Genomic DNA, 17707 nt, shown 5'->3' on the forward strand with positions numbered 1-17707 from the left:
TTGAATACACACTATTATTAACTGTAGTCCTCATGATGTATATTATATCTTTTAATATATTAATATATTTTAATCATTTGTATCCTATGACCTACATTGCCCCATTTCCTCACAACTACCCTGACCCTGGTAACCACTGTTTAATTCACTATCTGTATATATTTGACCTTTTTTAAAAAAAGATTCCATATATAAGTGAGATCATACAATATTTTTCTTTCTTGGTCTGGCTTATTTCATTTAGCATAAGGTCCTCCAGGTCCATCCATGTTGGGACAAATGACAGATCTTCTTCTTTTTAAGGCTGAAAAATATTCCAGGGGGTGTGTGTGTGTGTGTGTGTGTGTGTGTGTGTGTACACACGATTCTTGGACCATATTTCTTTGTAAACTGTTTTCTACATATTCTTAGCCCTTCCATAGAAACCCCAGATTCTCTCTCTCTCTCTCTCTCTCTCTCTCTCTCTCTCTCTCTCCCTCTCCTCCTGCTCCTCCTCCTCCTGCCTACATCTCTCTCTCCCTTCCTCTTAAAGTAACTCTAAAATATAATTTTAAATATTCTTATTTTGTCTGGTGCCAGACTGTTTTGGACACTAGCCATAAAATATTTTTAGCTGTGTTCATTTAAGCTACCATACAAGCCAGGCGCTACATCTACAGAACACCTTTCTTTTTACTTTGTAAGTTCTTTTATAATATTGGATGTGGTGATGAGATAAAGAAAAGAGTGAGGTATAATGGTCTTCCTAGGTATCAGAATTTTCTTTTTGAGAAACTGTTTTTCTTCCTTTAGTAACGAAAACAAGAGCCAACATAATGATCTGAGTTCTGATAATGAGTGTGTTTTGGCACAAACTGTCACATGAATCAAAGGTAACTTGAACATGTATAAATTAACATTCCACAGCCAGAAAATATTTAGATTCACTAAATCTGTTACTCTAAGCAAAATTCAGGAGTTAAGTCAATGATAGATGGCCATTTTGGTGTCTGGATCTTAGGAGAAAATAGGACCATAAGAAATAAACACTGTCCTTACAAAGAAATAAACTTTTGTCCTGGAGTTAAATGGTAAAAAGGACGCCCCCTCAGGGGAGCATACCTTGATAATATTGATCATCCAAATAGGATGATATGGTTTGGCTGTGTCCCCATCCAAATCTCATCTTGAATTGTAGCTCCCATAATCCCCATGTGTCATGGGAGTGACCTGGTGGGAGGTAATTGAATCACGGGGATGGTTCTGTGCTGAGGGAGCTAAATACTTGTGCTGTCCTTATGGCAGTGAATAAGTCTCAGGAGATCTGATGGTTTTATAAAGGGCAATTTTCCTGCACACGCTCTTGCCTGCCACCATGTAAGCCATGCCTTTGCTACCCCTTCACCTTCCACCATGATTGTGAGGCCTCCCTAGTCATGTGAGACTGTGAGTCCATTAAGCCTCTTTTTACTTATAAATTACCCAGTCTTGGGTATTTCTTCATAGCAGTAGGAAAATGAACTAATACATAGGATTATTGAGAAATATACATCAAATATAAAATGTGATTTTTAATGATTTTTTCTCGATTGATGTCTGATGGAGACTAAGTGCTTAATATGAAAACAGAACTCATGGTGTTTTCTTCTGCGGAAAGCAAGTTAGTGTAGTCCAGGCTTGTAACTTGCTGGTATAAGAAAAGATCCTAGACTTTCCAAAGGGAAAAATGGACAGAAGGTTACATCGTAGGGTCAGCAGTTTCTTAGATGTGGTCATCTGGTTATAGTATTACTCTGAAATATTACCTCCTTCTAGGTTTTTGATAGGAGTGGGATTGCAGACAATTTGAAGCTCTACTTTATGATGAAAGCCTGGTGAGCTCTAATTGAGAAATACAGACCTGGTTTGGATACTAAATGAGTAGGTGTTTATTAACACACTGTTAGGAAAATTGAGAATTCTGGCAGGTTTTAGTGCTCAAAGTAAAACCTTTCCCATTTACAGAGAGAGGTGGGCTTGGAGAGACCCTTCAGAATGAGTTGGGACCTTCCTGAAGAAGGAGCTCTGGATCCGTTCAAGCATCACTGTGACTTCTGAGAGACACGTCTCTATTAGTCCATTTTCATACTGCTATAAAGAACTGCCTGAGACTGGGTAATTTATAAAAGAAAGAGGTTTAATTGACACACAGTTCAGCATGGCTGGGGAGGCCTCAGGAAACTTACCATCGTGGCATAAGGTGAGAAGGAGCAAGCCACCTTCTTCACAGGTGGCAGGAAGAAGTGCCCAGTGAAGCAGGAAGAGCCCCTTATAAAACAATCAGATCTTGTGAGAACTCACTCACTATCAGGAGAACAGCATGGGAGAAATTGCTCCCATGATTCAGTTACCTCCACCTGGTCTCTCTCCCTTGACATGTGGGGATTGTGGGGATTACAATTCAAAATGAGATTTGGGTGGGGACACAAAGCCAAACCATAGGATCCATCAAATCCCAGGATGATGGTTCTCCATCCCCACAATGTGTGCAATATTTTAGGAGTCTTTTGTTACTCATAATAGCTAAAGTACAGATCTTTGCAAGTAGTTTCATCTTCCACGAGTGAAAGCAGATTCAAACAAAAACATTACTCTCACCTGCATCATACGTTTTCGAGAGTGAGCAGTGTGCTGGAAATTGCCCCAACCCATGCTGTTTTATGTAAGCCATAGTCCTTAGAATGTAGGTACTCAGAGAAGAGCAGGTACTTTTTTGTGCTAGGAAGAAACATGGCCAAGCAATACTGCTATCTGACGAGGAAGCTGTTGTTCTTTAACCTGGACCATTTTCAGAGTAGGCATTTTAAAAGCTGCCTGATGAGAACTTTTTGAAACTGTAGCAGAGCTTCCATGGATATTCTGATTGGATATATCATTGCTTCCTGCTCAGCTTGCTAAGATAACTTGAAAACAGAAAATCCTTTTGTCTGGAGTAGGTATTTAATTAACCAAATGTTAAGTATTGTGTATTTTTTCAGTTGCTTAAGTGGAAAGACATTATTACCTGAATATAGTTTTTTTATGAACAACCCAGAATATTACCGGGTTAAAGGTCATTGGTTTATTACTTAACCTAAAAATAATTGCTTTGACATATATGGAATATTGTATATCTCATTATTTTTTGATAACTTCAGAAGAGCTAATATAATCGGAGGCAGATCTACAGTGGAATAGGGAATTCAGAATTTATATTCTAACAGAAAAGGATACAGTAATATGACAAGGAAATTCCTAAAAATATAGTATATTTTCCATGTGAAAACATATTTCCAGACCAATTTCAAAAGAATGATAGCTTAGATTCCTCTCTGCTGCAGTAAGCTATATCCCCCACTTGAAATACATCCCACCTTTCCTATAATTACCTCTTCCACCAGAATTGCAATTATACATTTCTTTTAATCTTTTACTTTTCAAAAATAATGGAAATTTAAATTGGGAATTAAGTTGCATTTAATTTCCAGTTTCGCATTTTAATCTTTGAAAATAGCCTAGCCACAGGCAAGGTGCAGCTGAAAGCTTCAATGACAGCACACCTAAAATGGGAGGCCTGTCAGATTTGACATATGAAGTGGTGGTTTGGCTTCCAGCAAAGCTTTGTCCATTATGCTCCCTCTCTTGTTCACCTCTCCCTCTAGCTTTTCTTCCACTGTCAGAGAGCTGAAATGCGAATAATTCTACTCCAGGAAACATATTTCACATAATTTCTATAACACCAAATGAAAAGCCTTTAGACTATATTATCATAGAAGCTAGTCCTTATTTAACACCAGATTTTATTGGATATGTAATTTTATATACATATTGTATTACATACCTCTACCTAAATACAGAAATACTTTACAGCCTTATTATGTGTAATAAAAAAATCTAACATCTTCTCAAGCCACATTGCAGATGGTAGTATTATCTGGATGGTGCCTCATGAACAAACTTCAAAAGGAAATGTTGATGTGAGAAGATTCCTATGGTTCTGGTAAGACTCTACATCCCCCTCCCCCCAGGTCTGTGGAATAATGTATAGGCATATAAACAGTACATACATGGCATCAATTGTTATAACCATATATATGTGTGTGCGTGTTTAAATTGTATTAATAAGATTTTTTTATACACTCAGCACCTAACAGTGTCTAACACATTTTATATCTTCCAATAAATGAATGAAGCAAATGAAAACATCAGTAAACAGAAAAAAACAGGCATTTTATTCAGTTTACTTTAATTTGAGTGGTGTTTGGTTGTAATATCTGACAAAAGTTAGTGCTATTTAATGGTTTAAAATAATTTAATGTGTAGTTTTCCCCTTTAAGTTTTGCCCTGTATCTTTTGCTATGGTCTGTCAGCTATAATTTGTTCAATCTTTTGTGTAGCTTTCTTCCCAGTCTTACAAGTCTAATTGGGGAAAGTAAGGGAATTAACAATGATCAAAAGTCTATTCTTTTTCTAAACATTCACATATCTTTGAATCTCTACAGGAATCCTGGAAAAGAGGATCATTTTGCAGAAAAAAAACATAGGCTAGAGTTTCTGAACACCTTGTCCCAAAGGTACAGCCAGAGTTTGAATCCAAGTCAGTCTAATTCCAAACATAGATCTTTTCCTCAAACCATAACATTTTCAAGAACTGTATTTTATCATTTCTTATGATCCCTGCCAACTTACTCACAATATTATCAGTAGCCTAGACATTCACTAAATGCCAACTGTGAACAAGTGAAGCCTTTAAGACTTGGATGGTGTTGAAGTTCCCTGGTGTGATATTTCAGTTTACTCAGTACCCACCTGAATGAATGCTTTGAAGAAAATAAACAAGTGAAGCTTAATCAGCTAAGTAAATGTTTGGATAAAAAAATGAAGCTTGTTTAAATAAGGGAAAGCCCTTATTCTTCTCTGATCTACTCATTTAAGTCAAACAATTACCATAAAGCTAATTCTCAAAATTATGTTTTCTTTAATTATTGAATTGGGTTAGTACTGTCCTTTGACCCATTAGTCCAAATACACACATGCACAGCTACACAAATATATATATATATATAAATATATATATATATATATGTATGTATACATAGAGAGAATCTAAAAAATACTCTAACTGACAAGATGGAGATGACACTAATTTATGCATATATCAGGGCAATTTCAATTTCTGCATTTTAATAGCTTATCTCTGATATTTGCAAACTAAGAGCTTCATTTACAGACTGTACTTGTATCATGAGTTCCCAAACTACAACTACAAATGTTTAAATATCTTTTTAAACTGAGTGTGCATGAATGTTTTTTATCAGAAGCATTATTTAAAATAATTACTATTATCTTTTAAGTAGCATCAGGCTGTTGGAATTTGCTAGGAACTACCAACAAATACCTTCTCTTAAAGATACTGATCAGGGAACTCCAAACATTCTTGCTTCTGTATCCCCTAAAAAGACTCTTGAAAAATGAGTCAACCCTTGCAGATTTAAAATCCGCATTCGAAATGTACTTTTCATTCTTAAATGACTGAAAATAATATAATTTGAGGGACATTGTAAATATCGATATCTTAAAACTAAGATATATGTTTATGCCTGAAAAAATCTTATTGATCACCTAGTATACTTTTCTTAAACAGTATGTATACACAATGAGTGTTTTTTTTCTGTTACTGTAAGTCCTAAATGTAAAAAACAAACCTTTTCAATTGAGGTATTGTTACAATTATTAACGTGCAATTGACCAAAACAATATATGTATATTATAAAATTTGATAAACATAAAAATAAAATTTTATTGAAAATACATCTCTTAATAAGATGGATGGGTATTTAACAATTTATACACCTTCAGAAGAATATAAATTAATTCTACAATTGGAAAGGCTTCAGCATCAATTCTATCCCTAATTTTTGTCTGTATAGATGTAAATGATGAAAAATCTTATTCAAATAGGTGAGTAGAAAGAAACGGAAGGAATTGTATTATAGTAGCATTGCTTAATCATTTGTGCTCCTGCTATGGCATATGCTAAAAGTACATGATGATTGCTTACCAAAACGTATTTTTAATGATCTATCGGCTGACAACTTATCAGGTCTTCTCTTCGGGTTCAGTTGAAAGCAAAGAGTTAGCAACCACTCTTCTTGCAAAAAGCTATGTTGCCCTGTCATGAAAGTCATTCATGCTTCTTTTGTTTGAAGCCTTAGTAAGATCAGAGTTGGATGAAATATAAGGCTTTTTTTCTTAAATTGGGAGAAGTGGTTAGAAAAGGCAAGTGGTTAGAAAGGAGAAACAGCCTGAGGTCTTGACTACAGATGTCTTTTTTTTTTTTTTTTTTTTTTCAGGCAATTCAGTTTTCAGGAAGAGTACAAAATAAAGTAGAAGATCTAGAAATAAATTCCCTTAAAACTATCTGTGCCTACTCCTTGGAATGCCTTCATGTACTCCCAGGTTACTCCACTGTGAGGACAGCTGTTTTAAGAAATTTCGAATCATTACCTGTGACAAGAAATATAAACTGGCACATCAGAATCTCCTGATAACTTGTGTGTCCACTTCCTCAGTTGTACCTCACAGCTAAATAGTTATCTGTTAAACCAAGAGAAGTTGCAGTTCTGGGGGCAATAGCCTTATTGGTATTTGTGCCTGAATATAATTCTGAACTCCCTCTTTTCTACCTTCTAGGCTTTGAGTTCATTTATTTCAGCAGCAAAAGATGTCAGGAGCAAGAGGCAGTCCCACATAGTGTAGATTCATTGAATGAGGGAGCCAAACAGTGATTTAGAAACAACATTGCCAGTAACTATCTGATTAGCCTTAGGCAAGTTTCTCAACCTTCCTGAATCTGTTTCTTCACAATAACTCCCAGTCTGGCTGCACCTTCGACTCACACAAAGATCTTTAAAGAGATACTGTTGTCCAAGCATCGCCCCCAGGAATATGGATTTGATTCTCTGCTTAATTCTAAAGTGAAGGCAAAACAGGAAAAGTCAAAGTTAGAATCATTATCCATATAGTCTTTCAAAAAATATATAATAAGTGCCTATCATGAGCAGTGTTGCAAGTTTTCTGTGTTAAAATATCTACAAATTATACTTCTAAAGAAAAATTGAATGCTACTTGAATACAATAAATGATACATTTGAGCTTATCAGTCTTGAAAATCCTTTGTTCAAAAACGATGCAAAGTAGAGAGGGCAATTTAGTCTACAAAAACTTTTATTTAAAAAAACTGAATAAATAGCACAGACACATCCAAAAAGTGTATAGCATGGAAAAATTCAATAATGTATAGCACAGAGACACCCCCAAATTTGTGTTGTTTATCATGTTGCATCATGGTCTTAATTCCACATTTCATGTAGCAGAATGTATCCCTTCATTTTGAGATCCAGAAGGACAAAAGGGTTGCACAGTTCCCCTTTTTCTGCCTCTCGGAGATCTTAAAAATGAATGATAAACAATTAATTCTACCCAGGATACCAATGAAAATCTATTTTCTTTTCTTTTTCCCAAACAAAAACCTCAGAAGGCAAGTAAACTGACCTTTTAAATGAACAAGATCTGACATGATTGAGCTAACCCAAGAAAGAAAATTCCCCTCTGAAGTGAATAATTTTTTAATTAAAAGGTGAAATCTGACACATCACACTGGTTTTGTTATTATTGTTGTTTTCTTCCATTAATCTCACACTCGTAAGAAAAAAAATGAGTGTATTATATATGACTGTGTTTTATAGATGCATATATTCTACTCTATCCATTTCAGTCCATCTTTTCTTAATGCATTTGTCCTGTCACTTTTACTCACTGTAATTCAATTTTGTTAGGAAATGTAACTCGCTGTTTTATGCTTTATATATTTCACCTGATGCAAAATGGACTACCTGATTGATTCTGCATTTTTAGTCCACCTTTGAATTTATAGATAAAGATCAACAATTAACTTTAAGCATTATGCTAAAAAAATCTTAGCCAGAAGGATTGCTTCCTGAAAATGATTTAATTTGTATTTTTCTTAAATATAATAAAATGCCCTGATAAGAAGTAATCAACAATTTTGATTCTAGTTTTCCATTTGATTTGAACATGTACATTATTTCAGCATGGTGGATGATACATATCTACAGCTTGAAATATGTGCATTGGGGAGGTTTTGTTGAATGCTAGATTGCTGTTTTGCTGTAGTTTGATTTATTTGTGTGAGTTATTAGCTTGATATTGGAAAGTAACTAAAATTTGAATATATGATATCTCTGCTTCTGAAATAAATATAGCGATTGAAAATGGACCTTTTATGAACGTTGAGTGGGGCAATTTCTGGCAGGTGGGGAAGAGAGTAAAGAAGATTCATTGTATGAAAGCAAAGCAAATACACATAGAACTTGTAATTTAACGGAACATATCAGCAGATGTGGTTCTCAGAATGACTCTTACATTTACATTAATGACTATCTAAAAAGAATTAGACAGCACCGTGAACTTCCTTTTTCAAAATTAAAAGTTTTTTTTAAAATAAAGAAGTTCAGATTTTAGCATCAACTGACCAAAGCATAAGGGGCCATCCAAGAAAAAAAATAATCTGAAGCACTTTCATAAAACGATGTTACAAATCAATATTTTAGACACTTTGAAGATCATCTCCTTGCTTTTCAACCTTCACACTTCCGAGACAGGGGATATATATGTTTATATCATCTCTTTTTCTAAAATAAATCATTTCTGATTGAGCATCTTTTACAGAAGAGCCCACTGCAAATGTCAATTTTTATAATTGCCCAGACCATACTTGTGGGAAAAATGAAGGGACAAGAGTAGGAAGGTCATTCAGGGTCACTGAATACATTTCTACCACAGGAAAGCATTACGTCTTTTGCACTTTATTTCTTCAAGCCATTCCCTTCCAACATCTCATATCCCTGTCCCCCCAGAAAGTTGGAGTCACAGGTGACACAGCTGGGAAAACTTTCTTTATGAAAAGATTAACACATGTTTTAAAAAGAGATACATATGTATGTCAAAATTATTCCAGAACACTGTTCTCAGAAGGGCAGTAACTGCAACCAAGTTAGTTTCTGCTATTGAAACAAAATGTGAAGCTCATGGGGAAATTTCATCACAATATGCTGTCTATGAATTAAAAATCCATTTAATATAAAGCCTCCAAGAAACAAAGAAAACTTGTTTTTTATTTTTACAGAAGACAACGTACAACTTTTTAACCCCTAACCTAATTTTTTAAACCAAAACCAGAATTATTTTTTTTTTCTTTTTAGCTTTCAATGAAGCACAATCAAATTCCTGGAGAAAAGATGGGAAAACGGCATAAAACAAAGCACGAACACGGTATTTAAATCCAAGTTTGCCACAAAATGTAAATGTATTTCAGTAAATGTTCTATAGGATTTGTAAACAATTGAAAAGCTGTTATTTCTTTTACAACTGCAACATAATAAACATTATAATAATATACCTTTCTGGTAATGATATAGAATTTTTTATCTGGTGACAAATAGTTCTGCCAAAAGACAGATAAAGTAAATCAAATGCAGGCGTAACATCTATATTATGTAGATGTGTGTAGTTATTACTAGTGGAGATTAATATGATTTATTATGCTTATAGGTCATTTGTTTGACCTTTATAGTAAAATGCCATTTCATATCCTTCTTACATATTGTTATTATTAACCTCCATTAGTCATATATTTTTGTAAATACCTTCTCTAAATCCATTATATATTTTAAAACTTGGTTTATGATTTATTTTGCTCTATGGAAGCTTTAAACTATCAGTTAATTCAGTCTGCCAATTTTATGTTTTAAGTCTTCCAGGCTTCCTGACTTACCAAAAATCTGTCTCCCATGAAGCTTATAAAGTCCTACACTTTCCTTTATTGTTTATATGAATTTATATTTCTAGTTAGCTCCTTAATCTAGTAGGGCGTTTTTTTGGTCTATAGTTAAACTTATAGGTACATGAATAGTCAATTACGAGACACTATTTATTAAGTGAAATAGGCTATCCACACAGAACTAAAATATCCAATCTTATTTGGATGTTTTCCTGGACTCTCACTTGTAAACCACTAACCCATTTCTCTAGCCTTATGCCAGCACACTGTGGTTTTGATCACAATTACTTCAAAGTATAGTAGAAATCTGGAAGTGTATGTTGCTGCCATAATATGCTTATTAATAAAATTGTTTCCAATTTATACACACACATACACGCACACAATTTCCTTCTATATAAACTTTAAATTACATCATTGCCTATTTCCTTTGAAATTATATTGCCCCCAAACACATCAAAAGCATTCTGATTATAACTGTATTAAATTCAAATGTTAACTTGGCTGGTATTGCAAGTTTAATGACAATAAATCTTAAATCCTAAAACAATCCTACGTAGTCAATTTTTGCTTTTTCTTATGTATATTTTTATGCTTTTCACCTATAGGGTCTACAATTTTTATTCCTCCTTAATTTATACATTGTCATCAGTGTGAATGAAATATTTCCATTTGCATTTATAGTCATTAATATGAATAAAAGCTATTATGTATCTATTCATAAAGTATTTTTAAAATTATTTCACAGATTTTAAAATTGAGTCTCCTAGGTTTTCTCTGCACAATAATCCTATTTAACAATAATTTTTCTTCTTTAAAAATATTTCTTCTTTCCTTTTGAGGTTATCATTACTATTATTATTTTAGAGGTGGAGGTCTTGCTACTTTTGACTTATTTCATGAGCTAGACCAAGCAAAGCAAATTTGAAAACTTTGAAAAATAAAAATTTGATAATTTTTAACGTTGACAATGGTGCTTCTTTACTAGGGTGTCAGCAAACTACAAAAAAAAAAAAAACAACTTTGTTTTGCAAACTTTGTATTTATAAAATTTTATTGAAAGCACAGGCACACCTACTAATTTAAGTATTGTCCATAGCTGCTTCCAATGCCACAACTGCAGAATCAAGTAAATGTGACAGAGACTATTTGGGCCACAAAACTTAAAATATTTACTATCTGCCCCATTACAGAAGAAAAAATGCAGATTTCTCTTTATCCTTCTCCTTCCTTTTACTACGCAGCAGGCATACTTCTAGGATTTTTTTTTTTTTCCTATATAACCACATATTATTTCCGCAAAGTTATTAGGAAGTACATGGGACTTTCCAGCCCCATTTCACATTGGATAAAACTGAGGCATGAATAAGCTAAGTCACCTGCCAAAGGTCACGTGGGTGGCAAATATCTTCAGCAAAATTTTGACCCCAAAAGCCTAACTATGAGTTCATAACTGTGCAGTAGAACCCTTTCATCTTTGGTCCCATAGCACTTATCATACTGTATTGTTTTGTTACATTTTTTTTATTATACTTTAAGTTCTAGGGTACATGTGCACAACATGCAGGCTTGTTACATATGTATACATGTGTAATAGACTGTAGCTATATGTAAACATACCAGCTTTCTTAGATGTTACTTCCTCATAAAGACCTCCCCCTAGACCAGTGATTTTCAACTAGGGATGATTTTGCTCCCCAAGGGACATTTGGAAATGTCTGGGACAAATTTGTGATTAAAGAAGAGAGTACTATTGGCATCTAATGGGCAGAGGTCAGTTGTGATGCCAAACATCCTATAGTGGACAGGGCAGTCCACCACAACAAAGATGTATTTGGCTCAAAACGTCAGAGATTGAGAAACATTGCCGTAGATCAATTGTCATCTTCTGAACTTTGACGTTTACACATGCAACTAATTGTACAATTATTTAACATCTGTACACCCATTCACTGCTTTCACCACTAGACTGAAAAACTCCATCAGAGACCACATATGTTTTGTGCAATGCTATACCGCCTGTGCCTTCCGCAATAAGTGACACAGCAGACACTCATTAAGTATAAGCTTAGTGAGTGAATAGTGGATAACTTAAAGTTTTATAGTGTATACATGGGACTTGTCAAGAGTCTCTGTGTTTCATAAACATTGTCGTCATATTCTAGCTAACCATATTTAAAATTTTATATATATATATATATATATATATATATATATATTTCACCACAAGATTTTTATGGTGGTGCTTTTATCCACAGTTATAAGTTCTTTAAGAGATATTTTCTATCATTAAAAAATAAATTTATGCCTATTTACTGAAGTATTTGTGAAAAAAGCCCAACTGACGAGTAGGTTAGAACATTCGAAATCTTCAGGTTTTGATAGTTTTGTTTTACATCCGTGTTAAAGATGTTTTAACTGGCTCTTCAACATTCTCTAAGTAGGTAGGGCTGGCTCTAGGCAAGCACCTGAAGTATAGAGTTAGCTTCAGGTCTGCCTTCCTTTTCTTACCTTTAGGATTTCCTGGTATCTTTATCCTATTTCTCCCAATCCCATCTTCTGCTCTGTACCTCTCTTGTTGGGAAATAAGACTCAGAATCACAGACTCTTAGAACACAACAGGACTTTAAGGCCACCTCTCCTAATCACCCAACTGATAAACAAATTCCCATGTATAACTCCCAGGTCCCAATTTTTCATTATCTTGCCTATGATCAGGTATCATAAGTGCTAGAAAACACACTATTAATTGAGGCACCAGTTCCTGCTTTTGAAAGTTCTGATATTTAGATGGCTTTTTGTTGAGTCAAATGTCACCCCCCACTTTAGCTTCTATCGAGAGACTGTGTACCTCTTGGAATTATTCAGCACAAGTTTAAATTTTTGTGTCCGTAACAGTCCTTCAAACATTTGAAGACAACTATCATCTCTCTTCTTCTCCCTGCTAAACTTCCCTAGATCTTTCATTACCTAGATGACACAGCGTCGAGGCTTCTCAATGTATGAACAACTAACTAACTTCCAACTTTTCTCTGACTGGTTTAAAATCTCTTGTAAGATTTGACTGTTTATTCATTACATGAAGGAACAGCGAGAATAAGGGGATAATGGTTCCCTCTGTTCTCTCCTCAATGCATATTTGTTGTATACTCTTTGCCAGGAGCTATGCTAGGTCCCGGGAACACGATTTTGGGCAAAATAGACAGATTCCTTTCCCTCTTGCTGCTTATAATACAATTGTCCCTCAGTATCCATGGGGGATTGGTTCCAGGATCCCCACGGATAGCAAATCCACAAATGTTCAAGTGACATATAAAATGACATACTATTTCCATACAACCTACACACATCCTCCTATATACTTTAAAACATCTCTAGATTACTTATAATACTTAATACAATGTAAATGCTATATAAATACTTATTACATTGTACTGTTTAGGGAATAATGACAAGAAAAACACCTATAAATCATCAGTACAGAGGTAGGCATTCATTGTTTTTCTGAATATTTTTGATGCATGGTTGCATTCACAGATTTGTAATCCAAGAATATGAAGAGCCCCTGTACCAGGTAAGAGGGACATTGATGGAAACATTACAGTTAAAACTGAGGTTACAAATACGACAAGTGTTGCCTGAAACTATGAGAGCATATAATAAGGGGGCCTATATTTAAAAGTAACATCTCACATAATCCTCACAATGACCCAAACATGCATTTTCACCTTAAATATCAGGAAGCAAAATTGCACAGGTATTCTTAACATGGATGCCGGGTCTGGGCCTCAAGAAGAATCCCTGGTTCCTTCACTCTATGAGGGAGGTATGATACCCAAGACTCAAAGCCAAGTATGCATAGTCTTAACTCATAGTTCCTTCTGACACCATGCTTTCTACCACAGGCTAGGATTCAAAGTCAGCCATAAAGATCCAGAAATGAGTAAAACATACATCTAGTTAAGGGGAGAAGGCTTAATTGCTCTCTAGGTTGCCAATATGAAATGAAAAAGAATGGCTAACCACATCTCTCAGCATTGTCAAAATAGCCAATGAACAGAGAGAGCACTGCAAAGACCCCCAACTCAATTCAGACTTCATTTCTACCTATGTGGAATTGCTGCAGCCAGAAATTTAAGTAAATGTTACTTAAATGTAAGAGCCATGTACCTAACTCTTAAGTGGATATCCTCAAATGCAAATATCCATTTAAAATATACAAGAATTACTGTGATATAAAGTAACAATTGCTATGTATCTTTTACTTTTGTCGCCCAGTGGCCTTTAGACTCTGGATATATGTTAACTGGCATGGCTACTTTGGAATATTTACTCATATATGTAAACCATAATGGCCTTAAGGACTACAGATAAGGCTTCTTTCATATTAATCAACTATCTTTCAAAATGTGTACCGCAGGCTGTTCTCGGAATGGAGCTAGATTTCAGCCATTAGCAAAGGTCTACAAAGTAAAATCACTGTTACTGTTAACTTTTATTTTTCTGATTAAACATGGATATCATTTGGATATGTGTCCCCGCCCAAATCTCATCTTGAAATGTAATTCCCAGTGTTGGAGGTGGGGCCTGGTGGGAGGTGACTGGATCATGTGTGTGGATTTCTCATGAATGGTTTAACACCATCCTCTTGGTGCCATCCTCATGATGATGAGTGAGTTCTCTGAGATCTGGCTGTTTACACGTGTGTGGTACTTCATTCTGTCTCTCTTGCTCCTGCTCTAGCCAGGTGAAGTGCCTGCTCCCGTTCTGCCTTCTGCCACGACTGGAAGCTTCCCGAAGCCTCCACAGAAGGAGATGCTGCTATGCTTCCGGTACAGCCTGCAGAACTGTGAGCCAAGTAAGTGTCTTTTCTCATCCATTACCCAGTCTCAGGTATTTCTTTATAGCAATGCAAGAAAAGATTAATATAACACAACACACAGACACATGAATAAACTCATAATACACTAATTAAAACAATATTTTGAACATTAAGAAAACATGCCCATGTAATTTTATGAATGTCTTTCGTATATCCTTTCAGGGATTGGACGTTCATTCTAACATACCTCTTATATATTGTGCATTAATTTAAAAAATAAAGGCTTTATGGCTTCACCTCTGCCTGTGTATTGATGGTGCTTTTAGTGTTTCACCTTTGCTGTTCTGCTAACATATCCTCAATAAATCGATCCCAAGTGCCAGAAAGCAAATAACCCTTTATTTTTTGCACATTTAGAATGTTTCCCCCAAAAAGGAGGGAGACGGTAGGTATTAGAGAGTGCCTACTGCGTGGTGTTCAATCACAATAGGCCCTTCGATTAATATTTATTCATTTTGACATCCCAACTTGTTCTAGTCTGTGATGGGGTCTTTAACCTGGCATCTGTGGATGGGATTAAGGGAGGTCCCAGGATCGCAGGAATTATATTACATAAGGTAAATACCTTTGCGTTGTGAGTCAGGTGTTACATTCCATTTCACAGTGGAAGATTATTGAGATCCAGCAACATACCCACATCATTGATAATTGGTAGACATGGGGTTGTATACCAGCTCTGTGTTACTCTAAAACACATGCTTGCTTCAACATGCCACACTGCCTTCTTACAGAGCTGTGAAGAAGTTGAAATCGCGAAAGCTATTAAAGATCAAGGCAGATAAACTTCATATTATGCAGCCTTCTTGTGAGTATAACTTTCAATTATCTCCAATAACCTTAACTACATACAAAACTATCATACATCAATGATGGATACAGAATTAATCTCATTTGAATCAAATCTTTAAAAGAATTTCAACTGTTGATATAATTTTGAAAACAAACTTTTTTCAGTTGAGGCATAATTTGCATATAATAAAGTGCAAAAGTCTAAGTGTTTGGATGGATGTGTTTTGACAATTGAATGTATCTATGTATTCACCACCTGAACAAAATAGACAACATTTCCATTACCCCGAAAAAGTCACTAATGCCTCTGTCCACTCAATTCCAACCCTCACCCAGAGGTAACCACTTTCTTAATTCTATTACCGTAATTGAGTTTTGCTGTGCTTTAACTTCATGTAAATACCCATATTTGTGTCTATGACTTTTGGCTCAGCATAATATTTTTGACATTCATTCATTCATATGGTTGCTTTTACCATTGGTTTTTCCTCTATTCACTGCCGAGTAAAATTCCATTCATGGTTTAACAGAGGCATCAACTTTTTGTGAGGTAGTGAGGGAAGGAGGAGGGAATGACTGCATTTCATGTGATACGTAAATGGAAAGAAGCACCTAGCTACACAAAGAGAAAAGGAAGAGCATTCTGGGTCTAAGAACAGAGAAACACGTGCAAAGGCCCTGAGATGTTTTAGAAAGTGAGGAAGCACTAATATGATTATCCTATATGGATTGAGAAAGGTTGACTTAAGAAGAAAATGGTAAAGATAGAAATATAATATATTCATTATGTGTTGTAATTCATTGTATTCTAAGCCATAATAAAGAGTTGGGTGTTCATCCTAATAAGATAAATCCATGAGGGCCTTAAGCACAGAAATGCCTTTATCTAGCTGACATTTTGAGAAGATCCATTTTGCTGCGGTGTAGGATTGAATAGGAAGAGAATAACAACAGTAGTAAGAGAATGTGACCTAATCTGGCAAGAGGGCAGAGGTGACCTGGCCTAAGATGGGGGAGATGCAGAGGAAGAGAAGGCAAATTCAAAATAAATTTTTGGAGACAGAAGTTGCATTGCATTACTTGCTTATAGATTAGATATAAAATGGGAGATAAATGATGGAATCATGTGGACTCTGCTTACCAATCAAGTAGATAAGAAGAAGATACTACTGTGAAATAGATGAGGGCTGGGGAAGGGGAAAGATTTTAAATAAAATGTCAAAGCTGCATGTGCGGCAGCCAATGAATTGTGTCATATGCTCAGGTGAACAAGCAGGTTTGGAATCAAGAGAAATATGGGATGGAAAGATAGAGGAGTTATTCAACTAAAGATGGCAGTTAAGTCCGTAGAAATGGATGCTATCACCTAGGAGGAGAGCGAAACCAGAAACCCTAGGATTGAAGGTATAGTCTCAAACTGTGACATACCTACCTCCGAGGAATTTGGAACAACTCACTGGGACACAAAAGAAAACTGTGAATGCTTCTATTTGTGTTTGCATTTATATTTATTGATTTCTATTTTCACATACGTTTACATGCTTAGTCATATTCATATATGATTTACAAATAAATGTACATTTTGTGGGAAGAAATGTGCTTATAAGTTTTGTTTCAATTAGAAAGCAGTCTTGAAATTTTGAAGAGCATTGCCTTAGAGGTCAAGAGGCGGAGGAGGAGCTAGCAGAAACAGCTGAAAAGAAGCCAGTGAGCTTCAACAGAAGTTATTGTTTCAAGAAGAAAGGGAGTATTCTGTTGTTCCCTCTTTCTATCTGTGCAGTTGTGGGAAATGTGAACTCATAGTTTGTCTCGTGTGGTCCTGTTCCAAATGCCATACTTGCTGGAAATAGAGTGCAGAGCATCCATAAAACAGTCTATAAGACTAAGCATATATAAGGCTGCCAAAGAAGTCATTTGTTACTATCTATCTTCCCATTCATTTTCTCAAGTCTAGTTCTTCTGCTGGCCTGTGGTTAGGGGGTTTATTCTGAGTATTTCCCTGTGTCTTTAAAACTTCACATTTATATTTGATGGTATTCCATGAAATCATCAGGTTACTTGTCAGGTTTCAAATATTACATGAACTATTTTGGAAAAAAATGTACATTTCAGGCTCATTTCCAGTCCTAAACAATATAAATTATAGCCAAGTATGGCATTTAGCCATTAATGCTGTC

The 17707-nt window shown here is 35.2% G+C and overlaps 1 protein-coding gene across 17 annotated transcripts in view; it reads right to left on the reverse strand.

Annotated features, from left to right (window-relative positions):
- Positions 1-17707, reverse strand: part of DMD (dystrophin) — a 2220167-nt gene that overhangs the window by 1059286 nt on the left and 1143174 nt on the right. The window contains exon 45 of one of the 17 annotated variants that reach the window (XM_017029329.2): positions 7207-7447. Coding sequence (XP_016884818.1) covers positions 7385-7447 — 63 coding nt within the window. The 3' untranslated portion in view covers positions 7207-7384. 17 annotated transcript variants of the gene reach the window in all.

The sequence above is a fragment of the Homo sapiens genome, chromosome X (genome assembly GCF_000001405.40).
Source record: "Homo sapiens chromosome X, GRCh38.p14 Primary Assembly".
In the NCBI taxonomy this organism is placed as follows: Eukaryota; Metazoa; Chordata; class Mammalia; order Primates; family Hominidae; genus Homo; species Homo sapiens.